Source organism: Homo sapiens, chromosome 20, assembly GCF_000001405.40.
Source record: "Homo sapiens chromosome 20, GRCh38.p14 Primary Assembly".
Taxonomy (NCBI): Eukaryota; Metazoa; Chordata; class Mammalia; order Primates; family Hominidae; genus Homo; species Homo sapiens.
Genome location: NC_000020.11, coordinates 48,731,781 through 48,751,397, shown reverse-complemented (window position 1 = coordinate 48,751,397; position 19,617 = coordinate 48,731,781). Strand labels below are relative to the sequence as shown.

Sequence of the window (19,617 nt, the reverse complement as noted above, 5' to 3'; positions counted from 1 at the left end):
GAAGAAACCAGGACAGGAAGCCCCAATCTAGGCCAGCGGAGTGCGGCACTCCCAGCTTCCTGCCCTCCCTGGCTGTGCTGGGTGAGGCTGCCTTTGTCTCCCTCTAGTCTGGGGAGGCTGGAGCTTGACTTCCTGTCAGTATCCCAGGCCCTGTTAAAACATCCTCTAGGAACCCCAGTCCCTGTCCCCTCCGCTCATTGTCGTTTCAAAAACAGGATCCACAGACTTCCAAGGAGCCTGAGTCGAGGTCTCCGGCATGGGTCAGGCACTGTGCCAGGCGCATTCCAAACCTTCCTTTGATTTTCAAGCACCTGCTATTTGCTGAGCACTACATTTGGCCCTGAAGACGTAGCTGTGAACAAGACAGGCAGGGTCCCTGCCTTCAGGGAGCTTCCATTCACTTTATCCCATGACATTCTAAAAGGTGCTGTATTCCTATGATTCCACTGGGAAGAGTAAATGAAGACTTAGAGAGGCTAGTGCACTTTCCTGAGGTCACACAGCAGGAAGGACCCATGGTTGAAACTCAGACTCACCAGTTTCCAAACCTGGCCTCTGATGTTGGATTGGGGGTTATGGTTTCATCCCAGCCATGATCCCTGCTTATCCTGGCCTTTCCCTTAGGAGCTTGTATAGATTGCTTAACCTCAGTTTCCTCATCTGTCAAATGAGCTCCTAACGCAAGATGGGAAGATAGGAGTTTGCATTAAGAAGAGGAGGGCCTCTTGGCGGAGGTGACATTTGAACTAAGGCCGGATGGATGAGGAGGCTGCTCAGGGCAGAATGGGGGAGAACATCTTGCAAGCAGGAACAGCATATGCAAAGGTCCTGAGGCAGGAGTGTATTTGGCAGGTGGATAGAATCTAGAATGAGAGTGTGGCTGAAGATTATTTATATTGAGGTGTGTGGGAGGATGAAGTACTGGAAGATGAGATCAGAGAGATTAACAAGGACAAGATCATGGGGACCATGGAAAGATTTGGATTTTAAGTGCAGTGGGAAGCCATGGAGATTTTAAAGGCATGGATTGACTGATCTCCTGTACATATTTAAAGGGATCTCCCTGGCTGTGTGTGTAGAGAACAGACTTTTGGGAGGGTGAAGGGGACCAGGAGGGAAATGGCTGTGTTAGTCCAGGCAGGAGATGATGATGGCTTGGACTGGGGGGGTGGTGGCTGTGGAGATGGGGACCAGTGGTTGTAGTATTCAGGTAAAGCTGGTAACATTTGCTGATGTATTGGAAATGGAGTGTCAGAGGAGAGGGGCTGAGGACGGCTAGTGGGTTTTGGCTAGAGCCCTTGAAAGACAGAGGTGCCATTAAGTGGGGAAGAGTTCGGTGTGAGTTTGGGAAAGGTCATTAATTAAGTGTTGGACAGGCTGAGTTTGGACATCCAGGTGGAGACACTGAATCTGCAGCTGGAGATAAGAGTCTGGGGGTTTCAGGGGAGAAGTCCAGGCTGGGGATATAAACATGGGGGTCATAAAAAAAGGGGATTTAACCCATTTATGCTGGAGGTTGCAATTTTTTTTTTTAATAAAAAATCAGACCTTGGCAATGACCTTGAAGAGTAGGATATAAGTAACTCCCACAAGCTTAGCATTCCAGTAATGGAACACTAGGCATAAATGGGTTAAAGCCCCAAGACTGGCTGAGATGGCTCTGCACTCTGTGTGGACAGAGACGAAGCTGCTTCCTGTGTCTTGCCTTCCTCTGTGACTCGCCATGTGGACTGTCATTGCGCCCCCTCCCAAGAGGCTTGAGTCTGGGCAGGTGGCCGGGCTCCCGGGGGCAGGCATGGACGTGTCGTGTCTCTGGGTGATGGAAAGGATCTGACAGCCTTGTGCAGAGGGCTAGCCTCCTCTCTGCTTACCTGCTCCGCTTCCCCTGACCCCAGCACTATCTTGGGCTGTCCCCGCCATCTCTCCTGCACTCAGAGATCTCCCTAGACAAGCGTGGTGGGATGAGACAGGCCCCTGCAGCCCATGTCTTAATCAGCCTGCACCTGGGCTCTGTGACAGGGAGACCATGTGCTCACCTGGAGCAGCCCCCGTGTGGACCCCCAATCTGTCATCCATCTTGGCAGGGCAGGTGACTGATAGGCCCCACAGCTCCCCGTGGCCCTGTGGCTATGACAGCACCATGAATTCCTTTTCCCAGGGGTCTCCATGTGGCTGCTTCCAGGTTAGCCTACAGCCAGATCCCACATCCTGGAGTTCCGGCAAACCAGGCGGAGGTGGCTGTGGGTGCTGGGCCTCGGTCTCCCTTAGGTGCTGACTCTGCTGTCTCTCCTTTCCCCAACATTTATCCCTGTGACTCTCTCAGCCCATACGTGTGACCCCTCGGCAGCTCTTCTTTCTGCCACTTTTCTACCCACACCACCTGGTGCCAGGCCACCGTCATCTCTTGTTGGCACCATTGCACCCTACTGCCCTGGTCCCCCCACTTTTACTCACAACCCCTAAAATCCAGTTCCTTGCAATAACAGAGGGCTTTTTCACCAACACTTCAAAACTGGGAGACTTTTCTTTTGAAAAAAAATTCTAATTTCTGGCTTCATTAAAAACCACAACAACACCCAAATCCGAACCTCTGGTGGTCCTGGGCCTGCGGCCTCCCCACGTGACCCCACATGAATGGTGCACCCTCGGCTCCCGCAGCCCCTGTCACTCCTGCCCTGGTGTCGTCACACTCATCTACTGCGTCTCACAGAGGAGAGACGTGATTTGTCTGTTCCAAGCCCCTGAAAGGGTGGTAGAAGGACCATGGTCCATTCAAACAGTACATTCCTGGCATCTGCAAGGAAGCTTCTTGTGAGATGATCTGGAAGGATCTCTGAGCTATATTAAGTAGAAAATCCAGGTGCGGGTCATCCAGTATACGTTGCTATTTTTTGGTGTGTAAAGAGGTTAAAAAAAAAAAGGAATAGATGTGTATGTGTGTGTGTTTGTTTTTGCATAGATTTTTTGGAAGAATACCCAAGAAACTAGTAGCTGGGGTTCCTGTAGGGGTTGGGGAGGGACTAGATGGTTTGGGGCTGGGGTAAGGAGAGAGACTTTCTCTGTTTTTGCCATTTTTATTTTTGACTTTTGAGCCATGTGACTGTGTTATTACTCAGAGGTTAAATTGTAAAGCAAAGTAAAAAAAAAATTGAAAGGGGAAATGAATTAGAGTCTGAGAGGCGCCCCTGGGTGAGGAAGCAGGTGTGTATCTTTTTGGGCCAAAGGTTCCTCGAAGGCAGGGGCTTTGAGATTTTCTCTGCTGTATCTTCAGGGCCCAGTGCAGGGCCTGGCGTCGTAGGTGCACAGCACACCCCTGGTGACCGTGTGGGAGTGAGGGCTGCTCCAGTGTGTTTAAGGTGTAAGCAGAGCACGTTTTTCCTCGTCCTCTGCCTGTGTCCCTGGACTCGTGGTACCTCCCAGATCCTAGTTGGCATTTGAACTTGAGAGCCTTCTGTAGGGCCGTCCATGGGAGAGCTGGAGACGCGGACACTCACCTCTCTCTGCTTCTCTCCTCCAGGCATTCCTGCATCGCATCCGGCAGAACGTGGCCGACTCAGTGGAGAAGGGCCTCACGGAGGAGAATGTCAAGGTGTGGACGCTGGGGCTGGCCCCTGTTCTAGAGCATCTGTGTTGCTTTGTGCCTTGCTCTTCCCGTGCGATGCTCAGAGGGTGTGCATGCAGGGGGAGGCGCATCACCCGCTGGCTGCTGGCCGCCAGCTTTGCCCTGCCCCAGCTTGCTCCCTTCAGCCCCTGGAGGCCTCTTGTCCTGTGAGCAAGCTGTGCTTGGTGGATGTCAGCAGGAATTTTTAGCCCCGGGCCCCACTTTCCAACCCGAGACTTTCCCTCTGTGCTCATTGTGACCCCCCAGTCTTCCGGGCTCCTCGTGTCAGGCCCTCTGGCTTGGAGCCAGTGGAAAATCCTCTCCCAAGTGCCCCCGGGAGCCGGGCACCTCCAGTCCCTCTCCTGGCAGTCCCGGCCCCCGCTCCCGCCCTGGGCATCCAGTGTCCAGGCAGGGCTGATGAGTAATTGGGTCCAGTTTGGCCTTGGCCATGGCTCTGGGGAGTTTGAGGAGGAGATCAATAGGCCTTCTGTGTGCATGGCTCAGCCCCAGCCTGGCTCTCCAGGCCTGGCTTTCTGTGTGACCTCACTCTCTGAGCTGCCTTTCAGGCCTCGGGGCTCTGAGGGTCCTGGTGTCCAAGGTGCCCAGTATTTACAGCACACAAAGGACTCGGTCATAGAAGACATTCCCCCCAAACGCCCTGATTAATCTGGACGGTGGCCTTGCATGTTGACAGCTCTACACCGAATTATTTGCATAAGAAAGCTGAGTCTTAGAGATGTCAAGGACTTGCTCAAGGTCTCTGCATGGCTCCTCCTGGGGGTGGGGTGTGTGTGTGTGTGTGTGTGTGTGTGTGTGTGTGTGTGTGTGTGTGTGTGTGTGTGTGTGTGTGTGTGTTCATGCACTGGGATCTAAACTCTATGCCTGCATTCATTTATTCACTCATTCATTCAGCAAATATGGCTGAGCACCTCCTGTTTATTCCACTTATTTATTACACTGTTTGTTATAGTTTACAAATTATTTATTATAATTTTAAGCTGCGACTTATTACAGTTTATAAAAAATTACCTTTTTTTTTAATGAGGTAGAAGTCTCATACAGTAAAGGGTGCAAACCTTAGTGCTGAATGCAGTGCGTGTCTACGTACGAATGCACCAGTGTACCATGAAACCAAATGAAGGCAGAGAGCATTTCCCAGCCCCAACTGCCCACTCTGGGCCCCCCTCAGTCAGTCCTCCCTCCCTAAAGGTAATCCCTGGTTCCTAGTACCATGGATTGGTTTTGCCTGTTCTTGAAATTTACATTAAAGTGAGCTCTTTCGTGTCCCTGCCTGCCTCTGGGATTTGCCCATGATGTTGTGTGTAGCTGTGGTTCACTCTTTTTCATTGCTGTGTGGTGTTCCATTGTAGGAATGCAACACAGTTTACTTACCCATTCTCCTGTGGATGGATATTTTAGTTATTTCCAGTTTTTGGCTGTTAACAACTATTCTTAAAAAACATACAATCATGAGGGCCAGGCGAGGTGGCTCACGCCTGTAATCCTAGCACTTTGGGAGGCTGAGGCAGGCAGATTGCCTGAGCTCAGGAGTTCGAAACCAGCCTGGGCAACACGGTGAAACCCTGTCTCTACTAAAATACAAAAAAAGTTAGCCAGGCATGGCGGCATGCATCTGTATTCCCAGCTACTCGGGAGGCTGAGGCAGGAGAATTGCTTGAACCCTGGAGACGGAGGTTGCACTGAGCCAAGTTTGTGCCACTGTACTTCACACTCCAGCCTGGGCGACAGAGCGAGATTCCGTCTCTAAAAAAGAAAATAATAATAATAATTTAAAAAATACAATCATAAAAGACTCAGAGAGGCAAAGTAATAATAATAATTGCTCATTGCGGGGTCTGTCCTGTACATTGCAGGAAGGGTTAACAGCATCCCTGGCCTCTGTCTACGAAACACCCCTTTTCCTCCCAATTTGTGACAACCAAAAATGTCCCTTGACAATTGCCGCATATCCTGTGTGTGTGGCGGGGTGGTGGGTAAAATTGCCCCTTGTTGGGAACAACTGATCAGAAGGTTAAATTCTAAAATGTAGGATTGCTGGGTCAAATTGTATTAGTGTTTTACACTTTTAGATTGATGTGGGGAAACAGGGTATCTCATATATTGTTTGTGAGAGTTTAGACAGCGTATTTCTAACCTCCTTCCTTATTGTGTTTTCTTCTACCACGTCATTTTAATGAGTGCATGGAAATATACTTGTAATTTCAACATCGTCCTGTAGCTGGACACAGCAGTTGTGTCTGACTGTGATGAATGTCTGCATACTAAATGTGGAGCTGCTTGCAAGACTTTGACCTTGGGAATATTATTTTATCTGAGCCTTGGTTCTTCATCTGTAAATTGGGCATAACAATAGTTTCTATCTCACAGATTTACAGTGGGGATTAGATTCTATGAATGCGTATAAAGTTCTTAACACACGATTAGTCACTAATTCCGATTATAGTAAATAAATATTGGTAATATTTCTGTTATTACAAAGATTTCTATTAGTGGTAAACCAGTTCCGGTGTTTGAGAGTTCTTCTTTGACTACAATGTCACCCGCACCGAGGTTTGTATTTTTTCAGTGCTTGGCTTTGCTCTCCCTCTGAGCCTTAACGCTGTCCTCTGGCCTCTCTTTTCCTCACAGGTCCTGTTCTCGAACATCGAAGACATCCTGGAAGTTCATAAGGATTTCTTGGCCGCCTTGGAGTATTGTTTACACCCGGAGCCGCAGTCTCAGCATGAACTTGGGAATGTTTTCTTAAAATTCGTGAGTACCATGCCACTGCCCCTGGTGGACTCTAGTTTTTGAAAAGTGGGCTTCTCCCTGGGTCCCTGCCCCATCCGCCTTCACCAGCTTCCTCTGTAGGCCTGTCTGGGAGATGGGGTAGCAAGGTGGGCAGGTGGGCCCAGTCTGCATCCCTGGAACTATGGGAAGTAGGTCAGGCCCAGCAGGCTGTGGGCATTTTTAGTGACTCTCCTTTCCCTCAGCTCCACATAGAGGGTGGGCCCTCACTGAATGCATGTGTCCTGGAGTCCTGCGACCTCCTGGCCTGGCGGGGCCCCTCTGCCACAGTGACCATCAGAGGTAGCTAGTGGCCAAGAAGAGATGGACTTGGCATCAGACAGACCTGGGTTTGAGTCCCGGCTCAGGCACCCACTGGACAGTAAGGGTGTCTGATCCTGGGGTGCCCCGTTGGGCTGTTGGTCAGAGAGGCTGACGCTTGTTGCAATAGCCTCTCTCTTCCTGCAAGATTACTAACGCATTTGGAATTGTGGGTGGTAGGCTGGAAGAAGGAAGGCAACTGCTTTTCCATACCCTCTTTTTCTGTACTACCTGGGACCCCCCTCACAGACAGAAGAACCCAAGCTAGCCTCACGGGCACGAGATGTGAGCCAAACTCCTTTGCCTCTCTGAGCCTCTATTTCCTCCTGTAATTGCAAAGTAGGGACAATTCCGTATACCTCCTAAGGTTGATGGCCAGACTCAGAGGTAAAGCAATCGGGTAGAGAGTCTAGAGCAGAGCTTCTCAGCTGGGGTGATTCTGGCCCCCAGGGGACAATGGGCAATGTCCAGACACATTTTTGGTTGTCCTAGCTCTAGAGTGCTACTGGTTTCTAGTAAGTAGAGGCCAGGGATGCCACCAAACATCCTATAATGCACATGACAGCCCCGACAACAGAGAATCATCTGACCTCAAATGTCAGTGGTGCCAAGGTGGAGAAACTTTGGTGTATCAGCACTCGGCCACTGTTAACTCATCATCATCATCATCATCATCATCATCATCATCATCATCATCACTAACTCACTTCTCCAAGGGATCACATCTGAGTGGCTAGAGCCTAAGATGATGGAGCTGTGTGACTTTGCCCTCAGAGGGCAATGGGGGGCAAGTCTCATGTGCGATCAGGCGTGCAGACTACCCCAAGATGCAGTCATTCAGCCAAGGGCCAGCCACTCTCTACGTGAAAGTGAGGGCAAGGAGAGCTTCTGGCCAGGCTGCTGAGCCACTCATGAACTGTGGTCCTCTCAGCAAGTTGACTGATCTTGTCTGTGCCTCATTGTCCTTTTACCCATAAACGGGATAAATCCAGGACATTGTGAGGATTAAGCAAGATAATACAAGGAGCCTGCTCAGTGCAGCTCCTGGCACAGTAAGTGCTCAATAAATGTCGACGTTATCTTCCTATTCACATAGCGGACGCTCCTCCATCTTTGGAATTGGACAAATAAGAGCACAATGGGGCGCAGGTGGGCTGGGTGCTAGCGGAGGGCATTGAGCAGAGGAGGGAAGTGGTCCACAGGCCCTTTGGCTGCTGTGAGGGGGAGTAGCTGTGGAGGGAGAACTGGAAGCCGGGAGACATCTAAGAGGTTACCCCACCAAGTGAGATGACGGTGCCTCGGACCAGCATGGTAGCAGTGGAGATGGTGAGAAGGGGCAAGTGGCCACAGTGTGCAGTAAAGGTGTTTGAATAGGAAAATGAAAAGGATGGGAGGGACAGTCTTTCCTTTGGGTTCAGAGGAGACAGGAAGTGCTTTTTCTCTGGAGCCAACAGCCAACGTTCAAATCCCTGTTCTACTGCTCGCCAGCCCAGTGACCTTGGGCAAGTCCTTTCACCTCTCAGGGCCTCAGTCTCCAACTCTGTAAAGTGGGGGTAACGACAATTCCTGCTGCAGGGGGCTGTCATGAGGATGAATGACCTGGCTCAGCACCAAGCTAATGCCGCGTGTCAGCTGTGAGTGTTACTCCGGCCTGCTTCCTGGAGGGGGTGGGCTTGGGGTTGGCTGTGATGTCATGATCCGAGCTTGCTTAGGATTGCCTATACTTAGCAAAAGTGGGAGAAAGGGTCCTCAAGGTGCACTGTCCAGTTTGCCAAAAGCCCTGGCCCCCCTCATTCCTTTGGCTTCTCTGTCTGAGCCCCAGAGGCTGTGGGGAAGTGGGTTTAACTCGCTTGTCAGTGAGGAGCCCTGGACCCTGAGGACACAGCGGGGCTATTCTCACCTCTCTCTTTCTGCAGGATTCCTGACTTGCTCAGAGATGCAGCGGAGGGCTGGGGGGCTGGGGACGGGGAGTTCAGTGTGCATGAAGCAACCTCTTTTCCGTGTCCTCTCTTCTGCTACCTGGGACCCTCCTCATGTAGCCTCATCAAACTAGGCACCTGGTGAAGGCTGCACTTACCATCAGAGTCATGACGTGTGGAGGGTGGATGTTTAGGCCTTTGTGGGAAGTTGTTCTGTGCTGGGGCCTTCCTGGCATCCTCCCTGGGCCTGGGAGATCAAGCATTTTAGAGCCCAGCTGCTCGACTTTGCATCCTAGCTCTGCTACTTCCTTGCTCTGGGATCCTGGGAGAATGACCTTACCTCTCTGTGCCTCAGTTTTCTCATCTGTAAAGTGGGTATCACAAAACTCACCTTCTAGGGTGGTTGAGAGAATGAATGACGTTGGTAGAACCTGGCACATAATAAGTGCTCAGGAATTGTTTCTCACTTGGGTAATGTGCGCATCTGTTCACGTGATCCAGCGCTTTCTGGCACCTCCCAGGCTTCTCTGGAGTGTGACTTTGTGCAGGGTGCCCAGACCTGGGATCACTGAGCCCCATTCCAGGCGATCTATCATGAGCCCCCCTGCACCTCAGCAGGGCTCCCGTCCTTCCAGCCTCACAAAGCTGCTGTGATGCCCGGGCACAAGGATGAATGTCGGAGGCTTTGACAGAGATGAAGTATTTTGGAGATTGGTTCTCCCCTGAGCCAACAGAGAGACCTGCTGGAAACATCAATCAGATCTCTTCAACCCCTCTCCCAGCACCCTCCAAAGGTTCCTGCCTCATTGGAATAAAATCCCCACAGCCCGCCAGGCCCTGTTCATTCCTCGGAACTTGCTCCCCTGGCTCTAGCCACACGGATCTCCTCGCTGTTCCAGAACATGGCAAGCCCATTCTCACCCCAGGCCGCTTCCTCTGCTGGACCAGTTCCCTCAGACATCCCTGCGGCTCTCTCCCTTCTTGCCTTGAAAGCTTTTTGGAAATGCCATCTTCTCCGCAAAGGCCTCCATGCCCTCCTGTTTAAGTTGCTGCACTCCTGCCCTTCCGCGCCCCTCCCCTACTCTGTCATTCTCAACAGAACAGTCCGCATCACCCTTTGACACATCGGATCTTTTGCCCCTTTTTGCTTATTGTCTGTCTCTCCCTAGAATATAAACAACATGAGGACAGGGACTCTGTCATGTTCACTGCTCTGTCTCTGCATCAGAAATAGTTCAGCCCCTTAGCCGGGCATGGTAATGTGCACCTGTAGTTCTAGGTACTTGAGAGGCTGAGGTGGGAGGATTGCTTGAGCCCAAGAGGTTGAGGCTGCAGTGAGTTGAGATCATGCCGCTGCACTCCAGCCTGGGTGACAGGGTGAGACATTGTCTGAAAACAAACAAAACAAAACAAAAAATAAAATAAAAAAAAAATCGAGCCCCAAGCTCACTTGCCCTCTGGACATGCAAGCAAACTGAGAGAAAGGTTAAGCTCAAGGTCACGACTGTGCCAGCCGCAGAAGTGGGCTTTAGGCCATCCTAAGGGCTAAGCCAGTGTTCTTCAGTTCAGCTCACACGCTAAGTTTGTAATTTTTGCTATATCTGAGTATTCTTTGTATTATTATTTGTTTAATGCTTTAAAAAATTGATTCACTTATCGTTTGAACCCGGGAGGCAGAGGTTGCAGTGAGTCGAGATTGTGCCACTGCACACCAGCCCCTGCAACAGTGTGAGACTCCGTCTCAAAAAAAAAAAAAATTGATTCACTTAACAAAACTTCAGTGAACTTATTTAAAAAGAGAAATTTGCATCATCATTGAAAATAGAAAATGAGTGCTATAAATAGAAGGTAATTGTCAAAATAAATGCAGTAGAAACCAAACGGTATTACCGCATTCTATCTAGAAACTCTTAACTACTTGAGCCTTTCAGCCTGAGGCTGCTTACATCACACCAGCTAAGACCCTCCTTGAGCTAACTGGACCTATTGAAAAAGGAGCCAGCGTTCTCAGTGTGTGATACAGTGTTTTTTAATTTAAAATCATCTTTTTAATTAAAAATTAAAATTATCACGCCTCTTCCTGCCTGCTCACGGAGGATAGGTTGAGTCAGTCTGTCTCAGGAGTTTTAAAGGCCACACCTCTGTAGGTTGGGTTTCTGGAAGCTGGCGATTTGCACACAGGTGGGCCCTTGGAAGCAGCTAAAGGAGAGGTTGCAGAGGCTCCACCCCAGCCACTGATAGTCCCATCTGGAAGGAACTCTGGAACTAGGATAGCTCTTCAGATTATGCACAATTGCAGCAAGTGGGCAAGGCCTTTGCACCCTTGTTGCCCAGTGGGCTGTCCTCAGGAGTGGGTGTACCGCCTCAGACAGGTGGCCCTCTTAGGCTGAAGGCAGCTCTAGGAGAGGGCCTTAGCTGAGGGTCATTGTCAGCCAGCACTCCCAGCACCTGGGGTAAGGGGTGTCTCTGTCTCTGTGACAGGCATTTGAGGAGTGCACCATGGCATCCACTGCAGCCCCAAAGGAAAGAGGTGCTGGGTCCACTCTCCTTCCCAGGCTTGTTTACTCCATTTACTCCCTGCTTGGAAACATTTTCCCATGGCCATGGCAGCATCTGGGCTGGTGAGATGCTAATCGGGAACAGAGCTCTTGCAGACAGGCTCTCCAGGAGAGGAAGGGGCCCTGGCCCACAGTCCAGCCCGCTAGTGTCACCTAACTGATCAGATGGGGGAAGAGTCCCTCACCCCCTTTCCCCAAAACCCAACCACTAACTACTGAGTTTATCATAAACTAGCACCGAGTGGACATTTTCTTTGTGCTGGGTTCTGTTCTCTGTGCCTTACAGATATGCATTCATTAAAACTTCACAACACTCTTTAAAGGTGGTTACTATTATTGTACCCATTTTACAGATGAGGAAACCAAGGCCCAGAGAGATTAAGTTATAGGGCAAGCTTACAGAGCTAGGAAGCATCAGAGCCAGGATTTGAGCTGACACAGTCAGGCTGTAGAGTCTGTGTTTTTTACTCTTATGTGATGAGGTCTCCTGAAATACATAGTAAGCATCTCCTGTGTGCCAGGCTCTGCACTAGACCCTGGGGATGCTGTACTAAGTAAGACAGACTTGCTCCGTGCTGCCACGCGGCTCGTAGGTGGGAGAAACAGAGGGTAATTTAACAAATGAGGTCATTTCAGATGCCAGTGCAGACTGTGAAGAACATAAAATGCAGATGTGGTAAAGAGTGACTCTGCCTGAGGTTGCTTTCAATCGGGAGGTCAGGGCCAGGGCTGCTAGATTTAGCAAATGAAAACAAAGGACACCCAGGGAAATTGGAATTTCAGGTAAACATCAAATAATTTTTTAGTGGAAACATGTCTTATGGAATATTTGAGACATACTTATACTAAAAAAAATATGTGTCTGAAATGAGCATTCACCTGGGCATCCTGGGGTTTATTTTATATCTGGCAACCCAAGGGTGGGATGGCCTTTCTGAGGGGTTGGAATGGGATGATCTTGGGGAGGGTGGTCTGGACCAAGGTGAGAAAGGGCAGAAGCCCTGAGCTGGGAGCAAGCTTAGCTCATTTGAGAGAAGAAGGGAGACTGGCGTGGCCAGAGCAGAGTGAGTGATAGAGAGAGTTTGAGGGTGTCATAGTGGGGGCAGGGCAGATCCTGTAGGGCTTTGCGTGCCGAGGTGAGGACTGTAGATCTTATTCTGAGTCAGTGAAAGCCATTGCAGGTTTTAAGCACGGGAGTAGTGTGGTCTGATTTCTGTTTTAACCCCCCTCTCCCCACAGCTGTATGGATGGGTAAATAATTTGGGGAGACTGTTGAGAAACTGAGACCTGATTCTCACTTCTCTCCTCCCCACTGGAGAATATGTCTGCATGGGCCAGCTCCTTCCCTCTTCTGGGTCTTAGTCTTGCTGGCTGTGAAATGAGTGGTTTGGAGCTGATGGTCTCTGTGGAGCCACTGTCACCTGGGTATTGTGGACAGCAGCTGCCACCTCTCACAATCCTTGAGCCTTTCCTGGGGGTGAGCTCCCCTCCCCTGGCTGTTTCCAGCCAGCAGCTGTCCCCTTCTCCCCCCAAACCCACAGCCACATGTTCCGTACCCACCACATCTGTGTATGCACAACTGTTTGTCCGTTTCTTCCTGGCAAAGCAATCAGAGCCCCATGTCGGGCCTCCAGGAGGAAATGGAACACTTGGACTCTGAGCTGTCAAGAGCAGCGTTTCCGTATTTGCAGGGTCTCAGGCCTGAGATGCAGCTGGGGTCAGGCTGGATGAAAGGACACAGGCGTGATTGAACTGGGCACGGTGCTGCAGAGGGGATGTTGTCCTTTGCTAAATTTAACTTCTCCAAGCCTCAAGCGTTGGGCCCCTGCCCTTCCCACAGGCTGAAGGAGAGGAAAACATTGCAGACCTTGTCGTAGAAGGGGGCTCAGGGGATGAGGAATGACAAACCAGTGGTGAGCTTGTTACCCCCTCTCCTGCACCTGTGGCAGACATTCCTAATCAATCACAGCATTCTGTCTCTAGGCTTCCTGTGGGGCCCCAGAATCCTCCTCACCAGTGTTCCAGCTGGCACTACCCAGTGACTGGGGTTGGTATGTGGGAAGAAACCGATTTGTCCCTGCTTTCTGGCCCAGTCCCTTCCCTTCATCTCTGTGGAGATGGACAGAGAGACCCTGTCACCTCACTAAGATTTGGGTCCATGTCTTTCATTTTCTGCCTTTAAGAGTGTGCATGTATCAAAACTGTCTTTGCTGTACGTGACAGAAACACCAGTTCAGATAGGCTTAAACAAATACAGGACTTTACTGATGCATGTCAGTGAAATTGTTCAGGAGTGTAGGTTGGCTTCAGGCATAGCTAGATCCAGGACTCCGTATGATGATTTCAGGACCAGGTCTTTCTCTGATCTCAGGCTCTGCTTTTATCTGTGCAGTGCTGATTTCACTCTTGGAGAATGGGAGGGGCTTATGGGGTGCATGCCTCACATGGTGGCAGGGGTTCAACAGCAGCTCAAAGAGAGTTTCTCTTCCCAGTGATTCCAGCTCGAGTCCTTGCGGGCTCTTGCGGCCCAGCTTGGGTCACATGGCCACTGTTATTAGGACGGGGAACTCTGATTGGTTTTGTCTGGGTCATGTGCTCACTTATGGTCCCTGGGGTGGGGTGGGACCAGCCTGGGAAGAAGCACAGAGCTGGTCTGAGGGCCCTTTAGCCTCTCCGTTCCTCCTTCTCTTTTCTTCCTTTCATTCATCAAATAGTCACAATACCTGCTCTCTGCCAGTGGCCGCTGACCCCATTGACATCACAGCAGTGACCTCAACAGATGAAAACGCCGTCCCGATGGAGCTGACAGTCCCAGGAGATTCAGGGGAGAAGGACAGTGCATGAATGAGACGTAAAACATCCTGGGGTCAGGGACCATCATAATTCCCAAAATCTGCCTGGGACCCTCCCGATGCTTTCCCTAAACCCACGAGTCTATCTGCTGCCTTCCTCCTGACTCTGCCTGTCTTTTTTTTTTTTTTTTTTTTTTTTTTTTTGCTGTCAAAACCTTCCCACCTACTGCCCTACCCTGTTCAATAAAAAAGGTAATGAAGTTTCTGAAATAATCATGCTGGTGATAATAGCAACAACATTATTAAGCAATAATAATACTAGTTAATATTTAGTGAACACTTACTATGCACCATTGGAAGTCCCTTAATATAAATTCACCTGCCAATCCTCACAACACCATTATGGTAATGATATTGTTGTCTGTACTTTATGGATGAGAATGCAGAGGCCAAGAAATGTTACTTGTCTTGACCAAGAGCTGGTGACCGGGAGACTTGGGCTATGAACCTAGATGGTCTGGCTGCAGAACTTCTCCTTGGCACTTACAGGGTTGATGCTGATAGTGGTTGGTGAGAGTGGTCATGGTGGCTTTTTATGTCACTGCAAGTCTTCTCTGCAGGAGCAGGTTTCCAGACAGGCCAGTTCCTGTCACCTACAACAAAATAGTTGTACTCTTTCTTCCTCTTCCTCTTCCCTGCAGCCTGCATCACCACAGTCTGCAGCTGAAATCCTGGTTCCAGGTGTGTCCAGCAGCCCCCACTCACAAGGTTTTACCTACGGCTGAGTGATCCCCTGCAGCTCAGACATCTACTCACCCAGCTCTTTTGGCCTTGATGGTCCCTTAGGCCCATTTGAGACAAGTGGGAATAGAAAAAGGTCTGCCTGGGCAGTGTTGGGGGTGCTGGGGTCCCCTCTTCTCCTTCCTTGCCATGTGTTGGCATCTCAGTGGACTGCAGATACTTGATGAGTGAGTGGTGGTTTGTGACTCAGTGCATGTGTCCATGTGCATGCTGACATTGGTGGTGGTGTTTGGAGCATGTAGTTTGCATGCTGTAATGCTTGAGATCATTGTGTGGTTTCTTGGAATATGCATCAAGATTGTGTGTCTTGTGGTATGTGTGTGTGTATGGGGGTGCACTGTGGGTAATTGTAACATGGTTTGTCTGATATTTTCCCCCATTGATCCATGTTTGTCGATTGTGTTTATGTTTGTTGTTAATACTTGTAGAGTACTTTGAAGTATTGTGTGGTATTGAAGTATTGTGAAGTATTGTGTGCCAGACACCGTTCTACTCATTTCACATATATTAAGTTATTTCATCCTCCAGCATCCTAAGTGTTGAAGGTCAGTTATGATGTCCATTTTGCAGGTGAGGAAACCAAGGCCTAGGGAGGAGAAGCACTTGCCCAAGGTCACCCTCTACTTAGGGAATGTGGAACTGGGTTTCTGGAGTCACTCTGTGCCCTTCAGTATTCTGGTGTAGTGCCCTTGGGATGCAGCTTAGTCTAGATTTGTGGCTTGAAATTTGTACCCTGGGTATTTGCCTCCCACTCCCATCCCTACCCTATGCCATGACCTTGAGCTGACACTGTCACTGGGGTTAAGGGGGTTTGAGTCCTGGTTCTGCCACTGCACTAGCGGCGAGACCCTGGGGAAGCAACTTTTCCTTGGTTTTGTCATGGGTATGTGAGTCTGTTACAGTAGTTACCATGTAAGGCTGTCGTGGGGAATGAGTGAGTTCACCCCCATTCCAGGAGAGCAGCGTGCAGCCTGTACTACATGCTGGGCAGCCTGTACTACATGCTGGGCAGCCTGTACTATGTGCTGGGTATGTACTCTGTGTTAGCCATCAGCACTGACCTGGGCACTTTGTGGCTCAGGGTGTCTGCTCAGATGATGCACACAGAGCCCCCAGAGTGAGCTGGGGTGGGCTGGGGATGCCTGTTAATTCTAAACCCATCCTCCCTTCTCTTTGGTTTCCTATTTCCTGCAGCCTCCCATCGGAAGGCCATCTGGGGGCTTGTTTAGAAACAAGATGAGCTGCTTGCTTTGTGGACCCACCTCTTCCTTCCTTAGCTTGTTCGGGTCTCTTGCACACCCCCATCCCTAGCTCAGGATTGAGGCCTTGCAACCCTTCCTCCTCCAGTGACCTCACCCACGCCATCCTTGTTTAGGGTTTGGCGGGTTCTGTGAACCATCTGGAACCAAGAATGCTCAGTTGAGAGCTTCCTGCTAAGAAGGCTCCTGTCTCTTCCAGTACGGGAAACCCTGACTGATGGTTCTGGACCTAGTGACCCACAGGTGACCTTTAGTCTGGAAGGAGTACATCTTTGGGCTCAGGGGCATCTGGAGGTCAACAGAGCTAGCCCCCAGCTATAACAACTCTGACTTAGGGACTTTTATTAACTCTACCTTACAGATAAGGAGACCGAGGCACAGGGAAGTCAGGTAACCTGCCCAGGTTCACAGGAAATACAGAGCCGTGGTGCAAGCCCAGGCTGCTCTTCTTGAGTCTATGCTCTTGACCCCCAGGCCACACTGCTTCCCAAAAAGTTATTCAGGCCCCTGAGTGCAGACCTGGGGCAAGAGTGGAGGCTGGGAAGCTGGTAGTGAGTGGAGCCGCTTTACCTGAGATACCTCCTGCTGTAGCTTCTCCTGGGTCAGGGTAGTCCTTACCCCTACCCTACCAGCCCAGTGGTCAGCATGTGTCAGGGCACCTGCCTGCTACCATGACCTGCCTCCCACAGGCTCTGTCCTTGTCTTGCAGAAGGACAAGTTCTGCGTGTACGAGGAGTATTGCAGCAACCATGAGAAAGCCCTGAGGCTGCTGGTGGAGCTGAACAAGATCCCTACCGTGCGCGCCTTCCTTTTGGTAAGTTGACCCGTCAGCCCTGGTGCTCCCTTGCACTCGGCCTCATCCTTGTGGAATCTGGGCACAAGAGGACTTCATGCTGCCCCATGGTGCCAAATCCTTTCCTTGGCTGGGGTAATCTCCTGCCTAAAGCAGGGATCGCCAAGCCTTTTCCATAAAGGGCCAGCTGGGGAATATTTTTGGCTCTGCGTACCATACAGTTTCTGTCACCACGACTCAGCTCATGCCATTGTAGCATGAAAGCAGCCCTAGAGAATGTGTAGAGGAGTGGGTGTGGCTGTGTGGCAATAAAACTTTATTTACAAAAACAGGCAGAGGGCCAGATTAGGGTTGACTTTGCCCATTCCTGGTCTAAAGTAAGGGTTCTATTAAAAATGGCAGCAAGAGTAGTAATTATTAATACTACTGTCATTATGATGGTTATTAGGATTACTAGTATTTTTAGGATTATTTAATTATAAATGAAAGAAAATCCAATTAAAACTGGCTTAAGCGGCCAGGTGCGGGGACTCACGCCTGTAATCCCAGCACTTGGGAGGCCGAGGCGGGTGGATCACTTGAGACCAGGAGTTCAAGACTAGCCTGGCCAACATGGTGAAACCCTGTCTCTACTAAAAATACAAAAAAATTAACTGGGCGTGGCGGCATGTGCCTCTAGTCCCAGCTGTTTGGGAGGCTGAAGCAGGAGAATTGCTTGAACCTGAGAGGCAGAGATTGCAGTGAGCTGAGATGGTACCACTGTACTCCAACCTGGGAGACAGAATGAGACTCGGCCTCAAAAAAAACAAAAAACAAAAAAACCCAAAAACTGGCAGAAGCAAAACAACAACAACAACAACAGCAACAACAACAACAGAGGGATTTACTTTTCTGGGGAGTTTAAGACCTGAGAGGGCTACAGAGATGGCAGAGTCTGGGTGTTCAAATGATGTCATCAGTAATGTATGTCTCTTGACTCTCCTTTTCTCTGCTGTGGCTTTATTCCCAGGCAGGCTCTCCCGAAGTGGTAACAGGGTGGCCTCCAGCAGCTCCAGACTTATACCTCTGATAGCTGAGCAGCTTCAGGATAGAGAGAACTTCCCTTTCCCCATAGTAACAGCAAAAATCCTAGGTCTGATGCTCGTTGGCTCAAAACCTTATCCCTGAACCAATTGCTGTAGACAGAGTAATTGGTGGTGGTGTTCTGATTGGTCACTTCTGGAGATGGAAGGTGGGGTCAGGTCTACCCATACAATAGAGCCTAAGGGTAGAGTGGATCCCTAAAGCAGTTGGTTTGCATTTCTGGGGATATTTGTGTTTGCATTTCTGGGTATATTTGCATTTGCATTTGGTCAGGAAAAACTGTAGACATCCATGATGGTCTTCCCTACACTTGTAGAGAGCCTCACTTATGTATAAAACGGATTGTCATTTGTGACCTCCTTTGAGCCTTTCAAACCACTATCTGTTGTGTATGAGTCAAGATAAACATTTGTCTGCTTTGCAGACATCTCAAAGGACAGTGGTTTGAACAAGGTGGGCTCTTATTTCTCCCTCTTGTTAACAGTGTGGGTGCAGACAGTCTGGGGCTGGTATAGTGGCTCCAGTGTCAGGGGCTAAGGCCCTAGGTTATGATGCTCATTGACCTGGTCTCAGATGACCTTTGACTACATCCTACTTCCAGGTGGTGGGGTGGAGGGAGGGCGGGAAGGAGAGCATACCCTTCTCCTTTTCAGGGCGTAACAGGAAGCTGCACACATCTCCTCCCCTCACGTCCCATCGGCCAGCACTCAGCCACATGGTCACCCCTAGATCCAAGGAAGGCTGGGAAATACAGGCTTTATTCTGAGCAGCCATGTGCCCAGCTAGAAATGTGATCACTGTGGAAGAAGAATACATTAGGGGACACTGCATAGCCTTTGTCACAGGTGATTTTGATGACTTCACAATATTAAGTGACTTTCTAGGGGTCCATCCTAGAAAAGTGGTTGAGCTTATCCTGGGTTTCAGTCCCAGTCTTTCACCTCTGAATCCCTTCTCATTCGGTCACAGACGTCTCTCCACCCCCATACTGTTTGTTTTCCCAACAGCACATACCGAATTCAGTATATAAAAGTAGAACAATTAACTAACATAGCATACGGAGTATGAACCACGTTCCCAGAGTGCTAAACTATAAAATAATATTCCTAATTGCACTTCTCCTTCACTCAGTCTCCAACAAAGTAGTTCCAGAATTTCGATTCCAAATGTGTGTTTCCTTCACAAGTGAGTTCATGTTGCTTGGCCCGGCTCCAGTGAACATCTGAGGAAGGGCAAATTGGCAGACTGATTTACTGATTTCCATCTTTGTCTCAAGTGAATTAAGCTTTCAGGACTGTTGCTTTTCATAGCCGGTACCTACATCTTCACATTTCCATGTTTGCACTTATATTCATAAAATAGTCTGGGCAGAATGCAAAGATGAAGTCACGTTACTGCAAGACCCCACATGGACAGAAATGGCCATGTCTGCATTGACCTGTTGGCTTGCAGGCAGCACCACCCTGTGACAGTCCCTGCTGCCCAGGCTCTGGGCTCCCTGGCTGAGGGTCCCACCCTCTGACAGTATTCCCTCAGGTTCAGCTAGGTCCTGGGAAGGAGGAAGATGCCAGGAAGGTGTGTGCAGGGTGTGGGAAGGGAAGGGAAGGACTGACTTCTTTCTTTCTTTCCTTCCTATCTCAAGCAGTCTTCCTGGTGGGTCAAACTGCCCTATTCCTAGCAGCAGCTGGGTGGGCCGGTCTGGG

At 49.8% G+C, this 19,617-nt stretch overlaps 1 protein-coding gene across 4 annotated transcripts in view, besides 3 other annotated features; it reads left to right on the top strand.

Moving 5' to 3' along the window:
- The window catches only part of PREX1 (phosphatidylinositol-3,4,5-trisphosphate dependent Rac exchange factor 1), a 263,934-nt gene that overhangs the window by 136,788 nt on the left and 107,529 nt on the right, over positions 1-19,617 (top strand). For all 4 annotated transcript variants that reach the window (XM_047440333.1, NM_020820.4, XM_047440332.1 and 1 more), the window contains 3 exons: positions 3,518-3,589; positions 6,251-6,373; positions 16,748-16,852. Coding sequence is in view for 1 of the 4 variants with exons in the window: in NM_020820.4 (NP_065871.3) it covers positions 3,518-3,589; positions 6,251-6,373; positions 16,748-16,852 (300 nt within the window). In the remaining 3 variants the exon portion in view is untranslated. The remainder of the gene's footprint in view (positions 1-3,517; positions 3,590-6,250; positions 6,374-16,747; positions 16,853-19,617) is intronic.
- Positions 1,377-1,972: an enhancer, noted in NCBI's record as "H3K27ac-H3K4me1 hESC enhancer chr20:47365963-47366558 (GRCh37/hg19 assembly coordinates)". NCBI's record gives its function as "activates a minimal SCP1, AML or CMV promoter by ChIP-STARR-seq in primed H9 embryonic stem cells {active_cell/tissue: H9 hESC(primed)}" and the evidence as "EXISTENCE:reporter gene assay evidence [ECO:0000049][PMID:30033119]".
- Positions 3,128-3,860: an enhancer, noted in NCBI's record as "H3K27ac-H3K4me1 hESC enhancer chr20:47364075-47364807 (GRCh37/hg19 assembly coordinates)". NCBI's record gives its function as "activates a minimal SCP1, AML or CMV promoter by ChIP-STARR-seq in primed H9 embryonic stem cells {active_cell/tissue: H9 hESC(primed)}" and the evidence as "EXISTENCE:reporter gene assay evidence [ECO:0000049][PMID:30033119]".
- Positions 10,697-10,806: an enhancer, noted in NCBI's record as "active region_18036". NCBI's record gives its function as "activates an Ori minimal core promoter by ATAC-STARR-seq in GM12878 lymphoblastoid cells {active_cell/tissue: GM12878}" and the evidence as "EXISTENCE:reporter gene assay evidence [ECO:0000049][PMID:35858748]".